General features: G+C 35.2%; 1 protein-coding gene and 1 long non-coding RNA gene across 29 annotated transcripts in view; one reads left to right on the top strand and one right to left on the bottom strand.

Annotated features, from left to right (window-relative positions):
• CADPS2 (calcium dependent secretion activator 2) overlaps positions 1 to 23,666 on the top strand; it is a 568,050-nt gene that overhangs the window by 148,342 nt on the left and 396,042 nt on the right. For all 28 annotated transcript variants that reach the window (NM_001363398.2, NM_001009571.4, XM_047421032.1 and 25 more), the window contains one exon: positions 1,051 to 1,164. In NM_001363398.2, coding sequence (NP_001350327.1) covers positions 1,051 to 1,164 — 114 coding nt within the window. The remainder of the gene's footprint in view (positions 1 to 1,050; positions 1,165 to 23,666) is intronic.
• Positions 1 to 23,666, bottom strand: part of LOC124901738 (uncharacterized) — a 44,981-nt gene that overhangs the window by 9,954 nt on the left and 11,361 nt on the right. The gene's annotated exons all lie outside the window — the stretch shown is intronic.

Raw genomic sequence — 23,666 nt, 5'->3', positions numbered from 1 at the left:
GAAGCTAGACCCAGGGTAAGGACCCTTGGTTGTAAACTTCCCCAGTTCAGAGCATTTTCTCCTATGTGCTCAAAGACGCATTCACTGCCTACCTGCTGCCTCTCTGTTCTCTTTTGGATTTGTCTTCTTTGTCTTCTCCTTATTATTCCTTCAATTATCTAAACTCAGGTATTGATGTATGTTTGTTCATGGAATCCAAATTTTGGCATGCAATGGCTGTTCTTTCCAGAGGGATCTTTCTTAGGGTACGTTCTGTCTTTTCAGTCTTTCTTCCTATTAACTCTTGTCCAAGGCATCCCTCCCTCATCTCTAAGCTCCTCTCTACTTTCTCTGTTTAGAACAGCTGGCGATTTTGTATAATATTATTAATATTAACTATTAGTTAATTTCTTATCCAAATTTTATATTTTCCCTGTCTCTATGAAGAAACTGGTGTGGCAATCACAAGAATTCTGGAAATTTGAGATAGAAACTTGGGGTAGAAATTTGGATTCCACTTCCATATCAGGATTCTGGAAATTTGGGGTAGAAATTTGGATTCCACTTCCATATCAGGATTACAGAGTACATGAAATGGCTTGGAAATGTTTTAAAGTCTAACCATTAGTGTCCGGGTGCAGTGGCTCATGCCTGTAATCCCAGCACACTGGGAGGCCAAGGCAGGCGGATCATTTGAGGTTAGGAGTTTGAGACCAGTCTGGCCAACATCTCTACTAAAAATACAAAAATTAGCAAGGCGTGATGGCAGGCACCATAATCCCAGTTACTCAGGAGTCTGAGGCAGGAGAATCGCTTGAACCCGGGAGGTGGAGGCTGCAGTGAGCCGAGATCGCACCACTGCACTCCAGCCTGGAAGACAGAGCTTGACTCCATCTTGAGATGGAGGTCTAACCATTAGAACAAGTAGTAGGATGTTTTAGCTTTTATTTTTCTTTACTATAAAGTTAATTCTAGATGTGAAATCTAATATACAGCAAATATGATTTTTAATAGTCATTATTTTTTCATGTACTGGCCAATTTATCTGCTTATTTTCTCTTTTTCTTGTAGCTTAACAAACAACAGTTGCAGTTACTGAAAGAACGGTTCCAGGCCTTCCTCAATGGGGAAACCCAAATTGTAGCTGACGAAGCATTTTGCAACGCAGTTCGGAGTTATTATGAGGTAAGTTTGAAGAGCTTTGTTTTTGGCTTTCCGATGCATTTTAAAAGGAGTTTTATTATTTTTATGGGTTTCTCATTTTAAAGAAGCTTGCTGGTCTGACAGGAAGGCTGTGAATTTGCAACCTTTTTGAAAGCATTGTCAGTTCTATTTAGCAATTTAAAAGCTCTAATTCCACAGCCTGGTTTTGAGAGATAAACAGAATCGAAATTAGTCACATCTTTTGAGGAGAAGTAAACTATTTAGAAAAATCTTCTGGCAGTGATTGATACAGCTGACTATAGCTATCTTTAGGTCCACATGTCTAAATTATCCTTTTAAATCTGGATTTCAATAGTAAATTGCTATCTTATGCAATTTTGTTCCCTAAGCTTTATAATAATTAAAGCTAGTAACTAATTTCAAGAGGATGAATTGAATTCTCTTTGCTTCCTAAAGAAATAATACTACCAATACCATTCTGCTGTTTCTTCTGATTCTAGCTTGTGACTCATAGGAGTTTCTCTATGGATTTCCTATGAGCACCAGTTTTCACACATGGTCATTAACTGCTTCAGTGAGTTGCCACTAGCTGTTAGTTTAGAGAATTCACTTTTTGCATAAGCAATTCAGAGTCATTTGAGGGAATGGATTCCTTTCATTGTGCAGGTACTCAACACCTTTCAGCTGAAGAAGCATAATATGCGAATATATATTAGACTAATAAACAAGGGAAAATGTGGAGATACAATGGGTCTGAACTTACCTGAGGCAAGAATATTTTTGTGTAAAAATATTAAGTAATTGGATGTACTGTTAACTGATTGGATTTGTAATAGTGATGGTATGCATCAGAGGTTAATTAATGCAACTCTAGAGAAGTTTACCTTACCCCAAGCCTCAGCCTATTGAATTAAATGAAGTTTTGCTGACTAAATATGTATATAACATAAATCTAATGTCAAGAGTGGGTATGTCCAACTGGACCTTGTCTCAGAATATCTTAACAAGTTATAGGAGCTCAAAATTTTAACATCTATAGGACCTTAGATTTCACCTTGTAAGAGTCAGAGGAAGATTTCATCATGTAAAATTCAATATTTGAATCTTACAGTATTAACTGTAAATTTCTATATTTGCCTCATGTACTTAAACTAAAGAAAAGCCAAAAGTCTGTATTTGGGATGAAGGAAATGTAGCTCAGGGGAGTAATCTGTATAAAAAGATATAAAGTTTTTAGTGAAACAGTAGGCTTATATTTGGTTTTGATAAATGCACTGCTGCACTCTAAGATGATAAGGTTAGGGAAACTGAAATTGGATCAGCAGGGGGATGAGGGAGTTCTTTGTACTATCATTGTAACTTTTGTGTAAACCTAGAATATTTCAAAATAAGTGAGTTTTTAAAAGTAAGCGTAGTATGATGTGGCCACAGTTTAGAAAAAGGCACACATTTCAACAGAATACAGATTGAAAAAAAGGCACACAAGCTGTGCTAATAAAAATATTGTAACTCCAGTGAAGGAGAGAGTATCCCCATTGTGTTCTACATGAGGATTATGTTCTCTTCTGGGCACCATATATGAATAAAAAAAGTGCACAAATTTAGTGATCAGGTTTGAAACATGCCATATGTAAGTTGAAGGAGCTGGGGGTGTTTAGCCTGTAGACAGATTCGGTTTATGGTGTTGTATGCAATCCCAAGAGTAAAACTAGGACTTGGGTGGAAACTGAAGTGGGGAAGATTTCAACCTAATATATCTAGAGTTTGGTTGCAGTGCCCCAAAATAGAATGGACTGGTTGAGTATAGCATCACAACTTGATTCTAGTGGCCTTTCACAGTCACTTGGGAAACATACTACAGAAACAGGTCCTGGGGTTCTGTCTCAGACTTTCTGAATCAGACTTACAGAATTCATGCTTTTGAAAGCTTTCCAGATGATTCTCTTAGAATTGGTGGATTGCTAACCAGTGGAATTAAATGACTACCTGCTAGGATTTTTACAGAAAGAGATGTAAGCATTGAAGAGGTGGTTTGACTTGGTGACCGAGGGTTTTTCTATACTTCTGTTCGTATTTCCAGCTAGTGTTTAGTCGTGAAACTATATCTAACATGTCTTTGTGCACGTCTCAAAATGGTGTTAAGATTTGTGATGCTCATTATGGAGTCTGCATTCCTGGGGTGCATTTGTGGAGTTACTGTTTTCCAGGTAATACACACTTGGTATGCAACAAACTCTTGAATGAATAAATAAATTTAGTTGGAAAAATAAGGTAGAAAAGTTGCTTCTCAATTTTTTTCCCAAAATGCCTTTCATTTTTTTAGAAGTATATTTTGCATATTTTCCTGTGATCATGATCTTTATGTTTTATTTATGTATTATTACTTTTATGTAGTAATTTTTATAGTTTACCAGAACAGTCTTAACTTTTCTTCTTTCAATATCTCCTTGCAATAAACAGTGCAAGTATTATTACCTACACTTTACATAAATAGAAATTGAAGCTCATAGAGGTTAAATGACTTTTCCAGTGTTACATATTGTAAGCATCCGAGTTAAATGTGAATCCAGATTTTCTTTTTTTTTTTTCTTTTTTTTTTTTTTTTTTTTTTTTTTTTTTACTATTTCTGGCATGCTATCGTTATTTCACAGTTGCCATTTTGAATATACCTATGTCAGGTACTGTGGGCACTTCAAAATCTATTAGCAATCTCAGACATCAGAGAAATTAAAATATATTTAAATATATATTTATATTTTAGAATAAGTCTTATAAACAAGATAATTATTCCCATCTTACTCATGAAGTTAAGTGACTTGTCCAATACTGCATAGCTAATTAAAAGCAGAGCTAAGGACCTCATACCACCATAGCTGACTAAAAGCAGACTCTTAGGTTCCATACAAGACCTGTTGAATAAGAATTTCTGAGAATGGGGCTTCAACATCTGAATTTTGAACCTGTGCTTTGTGAACAAAAGTTCTCTGAAAAGCAATTTCATTTATTTAATTTTGATTTTTAATTTAATTTATTTTGAGACAAGGTCTCATTCAGTCACCCCGACTAGAGTGCAGTGATGTGATCATAGCTTACTGTGGCCTAGAAATCCTTGACTCAAGCAATGGGCTCTGATTTTATAGTGAAAGATTTTGCACTAGGTTCCCAGTCAGGTCCACTTATGCAAATAAAGGATTCAAACTTGCTTAGCTCTCATTGGTCAACACAAGCAAGTTCTGATTGGTTGGATATCACTGGGCCCTGATTGGACAAGGTAGGTGAGCTCTGATTGGTGGGTTCAGGTGAGTTCCTGAAGTCCCAAAGTTAAACAGAGGTGTGAATTTTCAGGGAACTCAGAGTAACATTTGTGACTTCTAGTCAGCAAATGGCCACTTGACTCAATTTGAATGTAAACCTAGTTAGCTACTTGGGATCCATCTTGAAGGATTGGCTCTTTTGGGATCACATTTGTTCACAGCCTTGATAATTTTGATTCACATTGTCATTTGAGAACCATATTGATGCAGACCTTATAACTTCTAGAATGTATGTTCCATGAAAGAGCCATTTCTGTTTACCATTGTATCCCCAGTTTAGCACACAAATATATTCAATGAATACTTGATGACTGAGTGAATGGGTATTGCAGTACTTATTGCTCTATCTAGAAACTGTATATTTTGATCTTGTTTTTATTCTTACTTTCTCCACAATTCTCTTTTTCTAAAAGTATTACTTTTGTATTGTAATGAAATTTCTTTTGAATATGATTGTCCTTCATTTCATGATTTTGTGTTTCCTTGAAGATGCTAGATATATATGAAGCATGGTTGGCCTTTCATGTTCTTTCTAACCTAGTTATTCTGTGATTCTATGATCTTTTGTGGCTTCTTACATCATTTGAAGTCTGTGTTTTCAGGGATGTTATATATATTGTTTGCTGTATGCAGCTGTTGTCAACTATTAATAATCTTTAAGTGGTAATTTGCTCATTTATTATGTTTACAATCCTTTAGCTGTGATAGCCATTTCTGAATCTGTATATAATATGTATTATACATAATATATAATGTATATTATATAATATATATTATACATAGCATATATAATGTATATCATATAATATACATAGCATATATAATGTATATTATATATAATATACATTATGTATATAATATATAATGTATATATATTATATACATAATGTATGTTGAAGGATTGGCTTGAAGGATTATATATAATATATAATGATATGTAATATATAATTATATATAATATATAATGTAAATATATGTATTTATTACATAATATATATTATACACAAATATATATTACAAAGACACCCCCACCCAAGAAAATAGCACATAGAAATACCCAAAAAGATCTAATCCTAGAATATATATTATATTATATTCTTCAACAATATATATATGAACAATCCTAATAAATGTGTATTACAAATTAAATTGAAAAGATATCTTTGTACTCGTAGTATATACATTTTCTCAAAATCTGTTTGCTATTATTTTTCTCTCTCAGCTTTATGATTGCTATTTCTTGAATGATTTTTATGAATAGCCTTTTCCATCTTGATTGTAGGTCTATATAGTCTATAGACAATTACTCCATCTCAAAAAAAAAAAGTTTTCTGTCTGTTCTTATAGTGGTTGTACCTTCAGATATTCGGTTTACTTTAATACCTGGGATCTTGGTATGAAACCCGAGATATATTTCTTTTTCTCCACGTTATTTGACAAAATTCATTTCTTCTTGGTACATTTTTTTAAAGGAAATAATTTCTTTCAGCTAGATTATTCCAGGATTAGATCTTTTTGGGTATTTCTATGTGGTGTTTTCTTGGGTGGGGGGTGTCTTTGTGTGTATATGTTAGTTATAATTAATATTTACTATGAATACTGTTCAACATGTTACATAAAAGCATATACTGAGGAATGATAATGATTTTTATGTAACAATATAATTTATATCATATTTTTAATAAGATGTCTTAAGTATTATAAGTAACAAGAATAATAAAGAAGTATGTTTGTGAAATTTCTTCAATATTCTCACACACACAGTTGGCATAATTAAAAATTGACCCAAATATCTAAACCACCTAAGTTGGCAGACATGATGGTAGAGGGACGGACCAGAATAGGAAGAGAAGAAAGAAATGGCAGGTAGCATACCTAACTACTTAATAAAAGTTGGCAGTTATAATCTTGATAATTTTGCGGTTCCTAATTGTTGTTTGATTCTGCTGCACTTTCATCTTTTTTGTTAATTGAAGGGTTTTTTTTTCCCCTCTTCACCTTTTTTTTTTCTTTAAGCACCTCATTGTCTAAAGGAAGTGCTAAAATGTACACAAATTCTACAAGTGTTTGCTCTTCGTTTTTGGCCATTTTTTGGTTTTGGTCTATTTTTCAATTTAGGAAACATCATCTGACTCTGCAGTTAGGTAAACATAGGTTGATTGCAATTTGTTACTTTCCAAGCTATTCTTCCCCTCAGATATCTGCTTCTGTTTCACAGAATTCAGGTGCACTTTATCCAAATATAACAAATGACAATGTGATTTACAGTGGACATGTGGAAAAGTAAATGGTCTTTCTCTTGTAGATTTCCAAAAGGCAGTATACAGTTGCTTACTAGCTGCTTTCAGCATAATACAAACTTTCAAGTTCTGCTGTTGTACAAAATATGGATGCTAGAGCTTCTTAAAAAAAAAAAAAATTTGTGACTTGGCTTTGTTCACAACTTTTCAGAAAGGATGTATAGTTTTCTTACTGTTTTCATTTGTTTATGTTCTACTTTGGTTCCAAAGAATAAATGAGAGAGAGGTATTTAATCTTTTAAAAGTTACCAAAAAAGTATTAAAATCAGCTTTGTTGTTGCCACCCCCACCCCCACCACCATTTGCTGTTCAGATTTCCTGCTTTATAATGGGACAAATTCCTTCATTCCTTCAATGAATTAAAAAAAAATTTTTCAATATGTTTATTATGAAATTTGGGGAACAGTACTCATTTTTATCTCAAAAATGTTCTAATTCTGGCCTTTTTTTGCAAAATGTCTTGAATTGTGAAATTCAGAAATTTTCTACTGTGATATTATTTTAAGAACACTTTTTAATAGAAGTAGTATATGTTTATGTTGGCAAATTTAAGAAATATTTAAAATAAGAAATGTTTTTGTCATCCTAAAACTGCTCTAAAAATAGTACATTATAAAAAGAGAGAAAAAGAAAACAAATACCGCCTGTATAATTTCAATAGCTATAGCAACTCCTTTTACAGTTTGGTGTTTCTGTTTTGTATGTATAAAACTGGAATCTGATTTATATGACATTAGCATACTTTAATATCAGATACTCAATATAAACATGGTTTTAAGTAAATGCATAATAAATCATTGTGTGCTTGTATCTAAATATTATTTAATATCTTGCTTATTAGTTATGTTTTCATTTTTTACTATTAAAAAGTAAATGCTGAAATAATTGTTCATAGTCATAAGTTTATTATCTTGGATAAATTTCTGCAAGTAGAATTACTGGGTGATAGGTGATGAGCACTGTTTAGGTTATTTATACAGATTATTAAATTGCCCTCAAAGTAGTAACAGGTTTTTCTACCATAACCATATATGAGTGCTGTTTTTACTTGCACATTTGGTATTATCATAAAATAAATGCCAATGGTTAGGTTCCCTTATTATTATTATTTGCTATTAGTGAAGTTTAACATTTCTATATTGGTCATTCATATTTCTTTGTGAATTATCTGTTCATGTCCTATGTCCCATTTACATGTTCATTTTCTTAATACTGATTCATATAGGCATTGTTTATACACTAAGAAGATGCTTAACCCTCTGTTATGATGTGATTATTTTCTTCATTTTGTTTTTTGTATTTTGCATTAATTTTTTGTAAGTTTCTTACCTCCAATATTCACTCATTTTCTGTTCTCTTAGGATGAAAGACACATTCACATTTCAGGTAGAGACTACACTTCATTTTATTTCCTTTGGATTCTGTTTTCATGATTATAAATCACTGATAACAATGATTTACATCATACTTCCCTCTGCTGCTGCTCCTCTTCATTCCAGTTACCACCCCTCGTGTATTAGTACCTCTGTGATTTAGGTTCTCCTCAAGAGCTGATTATGTTGGTGCAACTCATGCCATTGCTTTGGAACTGTTTCCCTATCTGTAGAAGGGGGAAGATGGGACTAATATCCAGAATATACAAGGAGCTCAAAGGACTCAACAGTAAAAAAAAAAAAAAAAAAAAACCGTTAAAAATGGGCAAAGGGCATAAATAGACATTTCTCAAAAGAAGACATATAAATGGCCAACATGTATATGAAAAAATAAAAACCACAATGAAATATCATCCCACCTCAGTTAGAATGGCTATTATTAAAAAGGCAAAAAATAACAGATGTTGACAAGTATGTAGAGAAAAGGGATTTCCTATATACTGTTGGTGGGAATGTAAACTAGTACAACCTCTACAGAAAACAGTATGGAGTTTCCTTAAAAAATTAAAAATAGAAATACCATAAGATTCAGCAATCTCATTACTTGGTATTTATCCAAAGGAAATTAAATCAATATGTCAAAAGAATACCTGCATCCTCATGTTTATTGTGGCACTATTCCCAATAGCAAAGATGTGGAATCAACCTAAGTGTCTATCAACAGATGAATGGATAAATATAATGTGATATATATACACAATGGAATACTGTTGACCGTAAAAAAAAGAATGAAATCCTATCATCTGCAGCAACATGGATTGAACTGGAGGTCATTGTGTTAAGTGAAATAAGCCAGACACAGGAGGACAAATTCTGCATGATTTCCCTCATATGTAGAATCTAAGAGAGTTGATCACATGGAGGTAGCAAACGAATGATAAATACCAGAGGCTAGGAAGAGCAGGTGTTGGATAGAGGGTAAAGAGAGGTTGGGTAATGGATACAAACATACAGTTAAAGTTCTAATGTTTGATAGCAGAGTAGGGTGCCTATAGTTAACAATTATGTATTTTTCAAAACAGAAGAGAGGCGACTTGTAATATAATAAATACTTGGGTGATAGACATCCTGAATACCCTAATTTGATCATTACAAATGTAAGAAAATTATCATTAGTGTTACCTTATGCCTATAACAGAATATCACAAGTGCCCCCATGAATGTGTACAAATATAATGTATCAAAAGATAAATTTAAAATAAATAAAATTGAAAAAAATAAAAACAAAGCTCCCTCCAGTTGCACAAGTGTCTGAATGTTAATTTCTTCCGTTGTACTTCTCTTTCCTTTATCCTAGGTATTCTTGCAGTCCCCCAAAACTGTAAAGAACAAATAAAGGAGCATGACTTGATACTTTACTTTCAGGACAAATCTTCAGGTCATTGTTTTTCAATCTTTATACACACTCTTACTTCCTAGTCTAGAATACCAAGGAACTTGACTTCAGAAATTAGCTTCTTCCCAAGGAATTTGGGAATATCTACTCCAATTTTCTACCACCAGCTATCAGATTGGTATCATTCCATTTCACTTATCTCTCTTCTTCCCCTAACATTATACCTCAACTCTTCATATTTACTTAAAAATAATTGCAGTTGTTTATTGATTTCTTTGTAAAAACTAAGAGCCTTTTCAGGCTTTTAAAATTTTATGTAATTACCTTACTTTTTTATCCTTGATAGATATACTGCATTGCTTGGTCTTATGTTTGTAAGCTAGAGAGAGAGAGGAGCTGGGAAGATTGGCATTTAAATATTTTGATGAAAAATTTTTGTCATTTTACTTTGGAATAGAAAAATTTACTTTTCATATTTCAAGGGATGTTTGACCTGTCTAAATACCTTTTAAACTTTGCAATAATGCCCTGGAAAAAGCCTATTTTTTTTGTAGTGAGTTGTTGATCGCTAAGTAAACCAAGATTGGCAGGCTGTGGCAAGAGGAGATAAAAAATGTCAACACATTCATAGATGAAATCCATAACCAGTAATGAGAAGTGATATTCTAAATTTGCACTGAGCTCTGCAGATCACATTGTATTTGCTGTTTTTGATATTAACCATTGTGTTTCACTTCATATTTTCTTATATTCTAAGGATGGCATTTTAAATTAAGTGTTGAGTAAGAATTTGCACAATGTGTTTTCATGTCTGAGATTCCTATTGTTGTATACAATATCTGGGTTTCTGCTGCCTGTGAGTGTGTTCTGTAAAGTTGCCTGCATTCTTGATGGCATCCATTTTGTTATGAAGACTGGATAATGCATGGATTGTAGAATTTTGTTGCTTGAGGATAGCTGAGGAAAACATCTTGTTTGAGCATTTTCCTCTTCTCTCTTCATGCATTTTTAGGTGAAACTGAGAGTGTCAATTTTTCATGCCTACTTAGCAAATTTGTGGCAGAGGGCAGGGCTAGACCTCTGTTAACTCTTCATTCTCTTTTCTTCTGCTTGTATATTCTTAAAAAAGGATAGTACATCTATATAGGTGGGCTGTGGGTAAGTAAATCTGGTGTAAATTCTCAATTTCACCAGTGGCCTAGAAATTTAACCCAAGCTAGGTAGCTGCCAATAACAGAAAGAAGCACATGCAATTTACTTCAGTGTAGCATTTTCTAATTCCCAGGCCCAAGGAAAGGCTGCTCAGTTTAGAGCTAACACATTGCAAAGGTAGGACCTTGACAGATCTGAGATGCTTATGTTTGTGCTATGCCATAGTCTTAATACTTTAAACTGGCACCCCAGTTCAGAAAGAATTTACGCTCATACCTATTTATAATCCTTTGAAGGGCACATTTGTTTATCAGGCTCTCTGATACCCTTGGTTCTTTAAATCCAGTGTCAGCAAAGCTGTGTCTTTCATGAGGGAAAAATGCCAAGTTAGTACTTAGAGGAATTCTGAGCCGTGGCACTGCTGAAGCTTTCTGATGGGGAGGTCCATTTGACCACAGATTCCATTTTACAGGATTACTCCTTCATTAATCAGGGAAATGCTCTTTAACTTTAAATGCCTTTCCTCAGGAAGTTATTTAGTTTTATTCATTTTACTTTATCTTGTCAGCTTAAGGTTAAGTAATGTTTCTTTGAACACCTATAGTTAGTTATCCACCTCATTCAAGCAAACTCTATCTTATATGTGGATAGTTTTTTTTTTTTTTTTGTATCAGGAAGCTCTTCCTAATTTTACGGTTACAATTTTCTTTTATGTTCTTTTTTAAAAGTTTTTAAGAGTAAATAATCCCATTTCCCTGACTCTATGACCCTGACAGCATCATAAGTTTTATGTTTGCTCAAATGTTACTCTTAAGTCAGTTTCGTGCATGTCGTTTGCTAATCCTCTGTCAGATTTACTCAATAGTTCTTTTTATCATTAAGCTTCTATTTTAGAGCTTTATTTCTTTTCTTTGGCTTCAGGGATAGATCTTGAGAGAAAACACGTGTACCTGTGTTAGCACAGTCACAGTGGGGGCTGGCTTCACCTTGACATATTTAAAGCTTTTCTCTTTCAGTGTCATAAAAATGGATAGATTAAGCTTTTGGAAAGCATGGAACATTAAACAAGTAACGTACGCAAGCCTGTGATTAGCTAAGACAGTCATTGTTCGTCTGTTTCCTAGTACACTATTGGTTTTGTTTATAAAATTTAATTTTGTATTGATTATCAAAGTACTTATTGGGAGGATAATTTTCATTTGACACAACATAAAACATACTAAAGACATAGTCCCCCTTACAGTTGTCAAGAATATTCATTTTTGTCATTGACAGTTTCTATAAGACAGTATGGAGAATCTTATTTTCATAAGATCATTGGGAAAAGCATTCTTTTGCCTCTGAATCCAGATGGGTGAATGGGAGTTTTATTTAGAGTGGTTAAGCTGGTGAGTTAAAATTTACTGTCTTGAATAAACACTATTTGAAAAAAAAAATTCAAACTGTTTAGGAGACACCAACTCTTTTTAGGGACACGGGGATGATATAAAATATGGATGAATTTATCTTGTAAATAGGTATCTGCTATCTGTGAGGTGTCATCCAGGCGTCCTGCAGGGCGTGTTGGTTCTACCTTGCTCTTAAGTACTTCCTGTTTCAGTATGGATTAGAGTATATTCCCGGCATTTGTAACCTACATGTGAGGCAAGACCATGGTGTCTCTCTGTATCCTAGGCTGGAGTACAGTGACGTGATCAAAGCTCACTGCAGCCTCAAACTCCTGGGCTCAAGTGATCTTCTTGCCTCAGCCTCCCAAAGTGCTGGGATTATAGGCGTGAACTACTGTGCCTGGCCATTTTTTGACTTTTTAGTAATAAGCCATTCTGACTGGTGTTAAGATGCTATCTCATTGTGGTTTTAATTTGCATTTCTCAAAATGAGAGGGTGGGGGGAGGGAAGTGAGGGATGAAATACTACCTATTGGGTACGTGTACACTATTTGGGTGATGGGTACACTAAAAGCCCAGATGGTCCATGCAGTATATCCATGATATAACACAACTACACTTATACCCCCTAAATCAATCAATCTATCCATCCATCCATCCATCCACATATACACACACACACGCATATGCATATATACCTATACATATATATATAAAAGAGATGTTTTCACAGTAAAATGGACGAGTTGTAGTTTGCAAACAGGGATTTTTAATCTGGATAGAATTCAGGGGGTCTGTGAACTAGGATGGGAAAACATTAGATCCTTATATTCACTAACCTCTAAGATATAGCATTTACTTATATTATGACTTAGACAATAAAGTACAGTAGTACTAGCAGTGCCTGTGTCATTATCACCAAAAGAAACACATATATTTTCATATCACATTACATTCCACTGCAGCTCTCTCAAAATATGTTTGTGTTCATGAACTACACCGAAACTACATTACTCTTAAATCCCTTTTTAAACTTTGTTAATGAGTTGTCATAGAAACACATACTACTATAACACAAATTTGTTTTTTAAAATAATTTTATAACTATTTCATTATAATTGCTTTTCTCTGTAATCGTATGGACTTATTTTTATGCATTTAAAAGCATAATCCTGAGAAGAGATCACAATCACTAGACTTCAACAGACTGCCAAAAGGTTCATGATTCAAAAATGGTTAGAAATCGCTGACTTACAGGACTTGTGGAGGCTTCAGCACAGAGGAAATAGAATTTAAACACATGGGAAAAAAAAAGGTGAAAAAACGTTGCGAGTTTTGTTCTATCTGGATTGGACTTCCAGATCTGTGTGACTGACGGAGTTTATGTAACCTTCCCATACTTGAGTTTATTCATCTGTAAAATGGAGATAATAATGTACTTGCCTCCAAGGATGGTTGATGATTGAACCAGTTAATGAAGTTAAATTGCTAAGTACACTGCCTTAGCTAAATGTGAGCTGCTATTACTATTATTACCTACAGCATTCCTTTCCCACAAGTATCTGCCATGGTTTTGCACAATTCAGCACTTAATTTATATTATCATGTGTACTGCTTTGTGATAATTATAAGCTGCTTCAGAGCAGGATACCATGGCTTATACGACACTGAACATATACTAGACACTAAGCAATCAATTAATCTGAGTAAATAATTAATTAAGTGAATTTTTTTAAGTGCTAGTCAGGTATTGCCCTATGCCCTGGAAATAAAAAGATGAACAAGGCAAGGTCCCTGACTTCCATGAGCCCACAGTCTACTGGGAGAGACAGATTTATTTTTATTTTATTTTTATTTTTTAATTTTTCAATTATTATTATACTTTAAGTTATAGGGTATATGTGCAAAACGTGCAGGTTTGTTACATATGAATACATGTGTCATGTTGCTGTGCTGCACCCATCAACTCGTCATTTACATTAGGTATATCTCCTAATGCTATCCCTCCCCCCTCCCTCCACCCCACAACAGGCCCCAGTGTGTGATGTTCCTCTTCCTGTGTCCATGTGTTCTCATTGTTCAGTTCTCACCTATGAGTGAGAACATGTGGTGTTTGGATTTCTGTCCTTGTGACAGTTTGCTGAGAATGATGGTTTCCAGCTTCATCCATGTCCCTACAAAGGACATGAACTCATCATTTTTTATGGCTGCATAGTCTTCCATGGTGTATATGTGCCACATTTTCTTAATCCAGTCTATCATTGATGGACATTTGTGTTGGTTCCAAGTCTTTGCTATTGTGAATGGTGCCACAATAAACATATGTGTGCATGTGTCTTTATAGCAGCATGATTTATAATCCTGTGGGTATATACCCAGTAATGGGATGACTGGGTCAAATGGTATTTCTAGTTCTAGATCCTTGAGGAATCGCCACACTGTCTTCCACAATGGTTGAACTAGTTTCCCATCCCACCAGCAGTGTGAAAGTGTTCCTATTTCTCCACATCCTCTCCAGCACCTGTTGTTTCCTGACTTTTTAATGATTGCCATTCTAACTGGTTTGAGATGGTATCTCATTGTGGTTTTGATTTGCATTTCTCTGATGGCCTGTGATGATGAGCATTTTTTCATGTGTCTTTTGGCTGCATAAATGTCTTCTTTTGAGAAGTGTCTGTTCATATGCTTTGCCCACTTTTTGATGGGGTTGTTTTTTTTCTTGTAAATTTGTTTGAGTTCTTTGTAGACTCTGGATATTAGGCCTTTGTCAGATGAGTAGATTGCAAAAATGTTCTCCCATTCTGTAGGTTGCCTGTTCACTCTGATGGTAGTTTCTTTCACTGTGCAGAAGCTCTTTAGTTTAATTAGATCCCATTTGTCAATTTTGGCTTTTGTTGCCATTGCTTTTGTTGTTTTAGACATGAAGTCCTTGCCCATGCCTATGTCCTGAATGGTATTGCCTAGGTTTTCTTCTAGGGTTTTTATGGTTTTAAGTCTAACATTTAAGTCTTTAATCCATCTTGAATTAATTTTTGTATAAGGTGTAAGGAAGGGATCCAGTTTCAGCTGTCTACATATAGCTAGCCAGTTTTCCCAACACCATTTATTAAATAGGGAATCGTTTACCCATTGCTTGTTTTTGTCAGGTTTGTCAAAGATCAGACTGTTGTAGATGTGTGGTATTATTTCTGAGGGCTCTATTCTGTTCCATTGATCTATATCTCTGTTTTGGTACCAGTACCATGCTGTTTTGGTTACTGTAGCCTTGTAGTATAGTTTGAAGTCAGGTAGCATGATGCCTCCAGCTTTGTTCTTTTGGCTTAGGATTGTCTTGGCAATGCAGGCTCTTTTTTGGTTCCATATGAACTTTAAAGTAGTTTTTTCCAAGTCATTGGTAGCTTGATGGGGATGGCATTGAATCTATAAATTACCTTGGGCATTATGGCCATTTTCACAATATTGATTCTTCCTATCAATGAGCATGGAATGTTCTTCCATTTGTTTGTGTCCTTTTTTATTTCGTTGAGCAGCGGTTTGTAGTTCTCCTTGAAGAGGTCCTTCACATCCCTTGTAAGTTGGATTCCTAGGTATTTTATTCTCTTTGAAGCAATTGTGAATGGGAGTTCACTCATGATTTGGCTCTCTGTTTGTCTGTTATTGGTGTAGAAGAATGCTTGTGATTTTTGCACATTGATTTTGTATCCTGAGAGTTTGCTGAAGTTGCTTATCAGCTTAAGGAGATTTTGGGCTGAGACGATGGGGTTTTCTAGATATACAATCATGTCATCTGCAAACAGGGACAATTTGACTTCCTCTTTTCCTAATTGAATACCCTTTCTTTCTTTCTCCTGCCTGATTGCCCTGGCCAGAACTTCCAACACTATGTTGAATAGGAGTGGTGAGAGAGGGCATCCCTGTGTTGTGCCAGTTTTCAAAGGGAATGCTTCCAGTTTTTGCCCATTCAGTATGATATTGGCTGTGGGTTTGTCATAGATAGCTCTTATTCTTTTGAGATATGTCCCATCGATACCAAATTTATTGAGAGTTTTTAGCATGAAGGGTTGTTGAATTTTGTTAACGGCCTTTTCTGCATCTGTTGAGATAATCATGTGTTTTTTGTCTTTGGTTCTGTTTATATGCTGGATTACATTTATTGATTCGCGTATATTGAACCAGCCTTGTATCCCAGGGATGAAGCCCACTTGATCGTGGTGGATAAGCTTTTTGATATGCTGCTGGATTCAGTTTGCCAGTATTTTATTGAGGATTTTTGCATCGATTTTCATCAGGGATATTGGTGTAAAATTCTCTTTTTTTTTGTTGTGTCTCTGCCAGGCTTTGGTATCAGGACAATGTTGGCCTCATAAAATGAGTTAGGGAGGATTCCCTCTTTTTCTGTTGATTGGAATAGTTTCGGAAGGAATGGTACCAGCTCCTCCTTGTACCTCTGGTAGAATTCGGCTGTGAATCCATCTGGTCCTGGACTTTTTTTGGTTGGTAGGCTATTAATTATTGCCTCAATTTCAGAGCCTGTTATTGGTCTATTCAGAGATTCAACTTCTTCCTGCTTTAGTCTTGGGAGGGTGTATGTGTTGAGGAATTTATCCATTTCTTCTAGATTTTCTAGTTTATTTGCGTAGAGGTGTTTGTAGTAATCTCTGATGGTAGTTTGTATTTCTGTGGGATCGGTGGGGATATCCCCTTTATCATTTTTATTGCGTCTATTTGATTCTTCTCTCTTTTCTTCTTTATTAGTCTTGCTAGCAGTCTATCAATTTTGTTGATCTTTTCAAACAAGCAGTTCCTGGATTTGTTGGTTTTTTGAAGGGTTTTTTGTGTCTCTAAGGAGAGACAGATTTATAAGCAGGAATTAATTATTAGAATTGTCCTGGCCGACTTTACCAGCTTGGAGTGGGGTACTGAAGACAATGATGTCTTTCTTTTAAGTTTTCCTTTTTGTGTTGAGCAAACCTAGAGGACTTGAATGTGATGATGCCCACCTCAAAATGAAAATATTATGCACACAGAAATTGATACATGAATTTCTCATGAAGCTCTGAAAATTAAGATTAAGTATGTTAACATAATTAACACAACGCCTGGCACATATATTTCAAATGATAGCTTTTTTGTTAAACCATATGAAACTGCCAATATTTGGCCATTTTTGATGTACAAAAAAATACACCCCAGCTTTATGTCGGTAAATTTAATAATATTCAAACAGCAATAATCAATTCTACTTGTTAACTCTCATCGTTGTTTCTATGTGTGGCAGTAATCTTATGAACATTCAGTTTTCAATCTGAAACTAGGTGATTCACTTTTAGGAATATTACAGGAGGTATATCCTTTTTAGGGGTATATTAAAAGATCCCAAAGTTTCGCACGGGCTCTCACTCTCGCTCTGTGTGTATACACATACGTACATATATGTATGTATACGTATATATGTATGTATATACATATACATGTGTATGTATATACAGACACATGCATATATACATACACATACATATCTGCATACACATATGTATATATACTTATACGTATATACATATACATATATACATACATACATATATCTACATATACATGTAGATATGTATACATATATATGTATATATATATACAAACCTCTATTAAGTTATCTTTTATGCTTTCACAGTACCTGAAACCTTATTTATTGTCAAAGTATATTTAAGAATATACAATTACAGCATTAATACTATTTTCATGTGTTTTTAATTTTGTTTGGATATGTTTTGCGTGTCCTCTCAAATTCCTTCTAGAAATTATAACTAAAAGTGTAATTAAATGGTATTGTGGTTTTATTATGGCATACGTTTACTGCCTTTAAAATAGTTAACTCTAGAATGACTCGTTAGGTCTGATTGACACTTTTAGTATGACGTTCTATTGGTTTTACTTCTACTCAGTCACCTTTCAAGTATCCACTGATTATTTGGTATTGAAATAGTCCAGTGCTCCAAAGTTAGGAGGAGACTGCAGTATTTAATTCAAGCATAATGTTTAGGAAATACTATTTTAATAATTAGAGTTTCCATTCCAATAACTCTTTATTGAGCAAGTTCTTTCCTCTTTGAGATGGTTTATATGAGCTTGTATTTTCTATGTTACAACAAATGACTGCAGAGAGGTAGTTTTTCTTTCCCTAATGACCATTAATCTATGCAAGATTTTGATAAAGCCATAAATGATGATATTTTTTCCTTTTTTTCAGTCATGATTTTTTTCAATCACCTTGGAATATATTTAATTCTTTATATACTGCTGAGATTTTAGCTTCATTATTGAGTTTTCTGTTCTAAAAATTATTATATCACATAGAATTTAATTGCCGACCTGATTCTCTACTTTCCTAATAAATTTATGTGCACATTTGATGGTGTAGCATGGACAGAAGTTATTAAGTCAGTGATTGTAGATGGATGTGAAGAACCTTCAAGAATAAAAGTATTAAATACACTTAACCTCTGCTCGTGCATGTTAGGAAGGAAAGTGGAGACCAGCCTTTTCTCTCTCTCTTTCTGCCCAGCATGCCTTTGTTTTTCAAATTGGCGTCATTGCACATGCCAGTGCACTAAGGTGGCAGCTCTGGTGTGAACTTGGCCCCCTGCCTTCTTTAACAGAAGGATAGGGGGATAGTCAGATAGTCGGAGGAAGTGGGTGATTTGAACAAGTTCAGAGCAGGGAGGAAGGCTGTGTTGGGGACTTCCAGCTTGTTCTCCTCATGCATGAAGCCACTCATTCCCTTTCTCTCTCCCCCACCCCTTCTTCCCCTCACTTTCTTCCTTTCCTCACTTCTCCTTTCCCCTCTGTGCAGAGCTCTTGGCACCAGTCAAGCTGTCCCACCCCTCAGGGCCCTCTCAGTGACTGATGCCCATGGCTCCCTCCTCCTACACCCAAAGACCCTGGCTTGCCCATGTCTCTGATGAGAATTCAAAGGGAGCTGTGTTTATATAACGTAGAGGGATTTACCTGTGGCTTTTCCTTTACTCACTTCCTCAAAATTGTGTACATTTATGGCATAGGATGTCAGTCCTAAAAGTTTTATTATCAAAACAGTAGGTGGCAAGTAATTATTATCATAAATCCAGCAGGTTCTAGAGAAGCCAAGTTGGAGGAGAAAGCAGGATAGAGTCCACCATGACCATTGATTGTTGGGCACATTCTTTCTAAGAAACAGATTAATTCCATTGTATCTGTTCTCTGTTATCCCATACCAGCTTATGATTAGAGTCTTGAGCTCACAACTTGGTCCTCTAAGAGGTAGTCAGTGGTCAGCGCTTCAGCTTGACCACAGCGTTTGGTTCTTTCTTTAAGTGTTGTGTTGTAATGCTTGGATTATAAAAGCCTTAACACGGCCCCATTTGATCAGTTCCCTGCCAACTCTTGTATCCTCATTTCACTAAGCTTTGTTACACTCACTAGACTGTTAACAACGGAGAAAAACCTGTGGGTACTGAATATGCCATATACAACTTGCTATTTATTCTGTTCCCTGTTTAGAAGGCCATGGCTACCCTTAACTATCTGAACTTTTCCTGTCCTGTAAGACTGAGCTCACTGGCAATATCCTATAGGCTGCTTTCCCTAAGCCTCCCCATCTTTCTTCCTCCCTCTTTCTACTTCTCTCCTACCTCCTTTTCCCTCTCTCCCCTACTCACCTGCTTTCCTTTTGCCCCTCCCACATCCTCTTCCCCCTTCTTGTCATTTTTCCATGTCAAGAAATTTCCAGATATATAGGAATATGATGGAGAATGCTGACAGGCAGTTCTTTGAGTAGTCAAATTAAGATGTAATGGTTGAATTGTATAATGGCAATCACATAAACTACATATATAAAGCTTCTAGCTTAGTAAACTCTAAATGTGTTTTTTTAAACTAAAGAATGAGGGGGCCAGGCGTGGTGGCTCATGCCTGTAATCCCAACATTTTAGGAGGCTGAGGCATGAGGATCGCTTTGAGTCCAGGAGTTCGAGACCAGTCTGGGCAATATAGAGAGACTTTGTCTCTACAAAAAAAAAAAAAAAAAAAAAAAAAAAAAAAAATTAGCCGAGTGTGGTGGAATGCACCTATATAGTACCAGCAACTCGGGAGGCTGAAGCAGAGGATCACTTGAACTCAGCTAGTTAAGGCTGCAGTGACCTATGATTGTGTCACTGTACTCCAGCGTAGGTGACAGAGCAAGACCTTGTCTTCAAACAGACAAAAAAGAATGTGGGATATACTGCTCTTGTGCTAGGATAATTGAGTTGTATTTCAATATTTTTCTGCACAGGAATTTTACTACACAGGGAAAATGCTTATGCCCTCACCAAGGTGCATTTATAAATTTAAGGCCCATTAGCTAAACAATGAAAGGGATGGAAAGATTTCGGTTGCTGCAGGTTGTATAAGAAGATTTTCTATATTAGAGTGTTGTTTACCCTCCTGAATCTTGAAGCTACTTCATTTTGAGTATTTACATCTAGTTATGAAAGTTAGTTATTACTCTTTCAGTTCCAACATAACTTCCACATAGAAACATTTAACCAGTATCATATGTAAGTTGTGTCATAAGTAAGTGTCTTATAATTTTTGTAAACATTTTTATGTGGTCTTTTCAGTTTAATATTCTTACCTATTCTAAAAGTATTTGAAAAATGCAGGAATAATTATTTGTAATCTGGTTTTTATGTGTTTTTACCCTCAATTTACACATCTTTGAAGTTGCCAGACTACTCAGGCATTGCTACTAAATGTTTGTCAACTTTACTTGCTTTGTGGGACCAAATTGAGAAGATGAGATAACTTCTTAATTGGGTTTTGACAAGCCTATTTGAAAAATTAACTCACAATTATAACAAGTGAAAGATAAAGACAAGTATGTTGAAAATAAGCTGTAGGATAAATTGTATCCTGAATTCAAAAGTATGGATATCAAAAATATATTAGGAAGTATTCACACAACAAAAGGAGTCTTTGTTTTGCCATTTAGCTCATTATAAAGTTCTAAGTGGCAAATTTTGTTGGGATATTGAAAATCAGAAATGATACCACGTTACAGAGTTTGTCAACATTTGAAATTTTATTTTGTGTTCTAGTAGAAAAAGTCATGTTCACATTGCAAGTAGGGACAAAACCCCATTATTTCCTTTGGGTTCTGCTTTCTTGTTTATAAATCAGTGTTTCCCTTTCTGGGCCTCCCTCCATTCCCCACCCCTCCCAAGAACCACCATATTAGCAGAGTCAGTGCCCCTTGGTCGCACTCTACCTTTTACTCCCTCCTCATGATTTACCTGGTAGATGAGGCTGGAAGGAGAAACCAGGCATGCCTGCCTTTCTTATTTATTTATTTATTTTTAATTGTTATACTTTAAGTTCTAGGGTACATGTGCACAACGTGCAGGTTTGTTACATATGTATACATGTGCCATGTTGGTGTGCTGCACCCATTAACTCATCATTTACCTTAGGTATATCTCCTAATGCTATCCCTCCCCGCTCCCCCGACCCTACAAAGGACAGAAAACCAAATGTGTTCCTTTCTGTGTGGAGCTTTCTGCTGACTGGGAGCTCCCTTACCCCTGCTCTTTTAGGCTGTTAGCTTTGCAAGGGATTTTGTCTAGGAGTAGAGACGTAGGTTGTATTTTCCTGCCTTTTTGGTAGTGATGGTAGCAGAAGGGGGTGGGCCTGCCCTATGCAGTGTGGACCATTGTTTTAGATATCAGAAATGTAGCATAGTACATATGCCACATGTTAGATAGTACCCCAGTAAGGTCCGAGGCAGGCTTTTTTTCATAAAACAAATATTCCTTCAGCAACATATATGAATAGTCATACTGAATGAATGCATAGACTTCCATTACTTCAGATCAGTTTTTTAAAAAATTAATATTTTAATTGACAAATTATAATTGTATATGTTTATGGTGTATAATGTGATGTTATGACATATATACAAAATGGAATGAGTAAATCAAGCTAAGTAACATATTTATCACCTCACATACTTTTTTTGTGATGAGAACATTTGAAATGTATTCTTCTAGCAATTTTGAAATATCAGGTTTTTTCCCCTCCCCCAATGAATTTGCTGCATACTTATGGGGAAAAAATACCTTTAGAGTTTTCATATTGAATTGTAGATAGAAGATTACAGCTCTTAGTAAAATCTAGAGGAGCAAAATCATGTCATTATTGTTTCTGCTAGTGTCAGGGTGGATGACTTTAAGCTTTGGTAGTACCTTACTAGGGGCAGACCATGTGGGGTTTTTACTTTGGAGCTTTGCACTGTGGTTGGTTTTTGTACTTGTACAATTGGCTTTTTTTTTTTCTTTGCAATGCGTTGTGTTGAGAGGTTTTAAGCCTTGTGTCTGTGAGAATTTTGACCATAGAAGATGACTAAAGCTATCTTTGTCCGTAGGAAAGCAGCTTTCGTTTTACAGGCAGACCCTGTATGCTTCAGACCTTATTCAAAGCAGAATGACCTCTGTTTGGACAGTGTACAGAAAAGAGAGTCTTTTTCATGTTTTTAAGGCATAGGCAGAATAATATTTGCTACTTTTAAATTACAAGGCACGGAAATCCTGTGTCAGTTATAAAAGAGCCAATCATGGATTCATGTGTCTTATTCACAAGCTCAAGTCACCACTTTGCCATCTGCGTTCTGGAAGGAGAAACCTTACCTAGGAGATAGGGTTCTGAGGCCTAACCAGTCCTAACTAGGGACATTGGCTGCCAAAGACTGAGAAAGGCATTACAGTGCTTATAGTCAACAGAGGCTTAAAATCTAAGGTGTGTCCATAACTCCTGTATATCGGTATGAAAACTCAGACAATCCCTGAACAATGTGAATAAGGGATATGAATAACAAGTCAAAGAATAGGAAACTTAAATGACCAATAAGCTCTATTAGCTTCATGTAGTTGCTGTATCAAATTGCCATAAACGGAATTGTTTAAAACAACAGAAACTTATTCTCTCACAGTTGTGGAGGCCAGAAGTCTGTAGTCAAGGTATCAATAGGGCTGTACTCCCTCTAGAAGCTCTAGGGGAGATGTCTTCCTGTGGTTCATCCACTTATAGCTGTATGACGTTTAACCAATTACACACTTGATCTCCATTTTCTAATTGATAAAACGAGATTCTGATAGTGTCTACTTCACTGCAGTGTTGTGAATTTTAAATGAGATAAGACAGAGTGCTAAACACCAAATGTTAAGTAAAGACTCAAATCGGAACTTATTATTACTGTAAGTTTCTATTATTCAACAAATTATAAGTAATACACTTGAAATATTAGCTAGTACAGTTTTGTAAGAACACTATACGAAACACCTTGTGAGTAAATAGACTTATTCCTATGAGTGGCAATGGATCTTGTGCTAGTCTCCTCTTGAAGATTTATTGCTTACCCTTCATAGCCCATCTTGTATGTATTTGTTTTGGTAAGAAATTAACATGCAAAAAGCAAATTTTTGGGTCCTTCGTCTCTCCACTTGACTATGGATTCTTTTTGTAACTGTTTTACCCATAGCCCCACTTATTGTTTGTTTTTTTAAAAAAATGATGATAGTAAAACATTAAAAGAA

This window comes from Homo sapiens, chromosome 7, assembly GCF_000001405.40.
Source record: "Homo sapiens chromosome 7, GRCh38.p14 Primary Assembly".
NCBI lineage: Eukaryota > Metazoa > Chordata > Mammalia > Primates > Hominidae > Homo > Homo sapiens.
The sequence above is the reverse complement of the archived record's forward strand: the minus strand, read 5'-3'. Positions and strand labels throughout refer to the sequence as shown.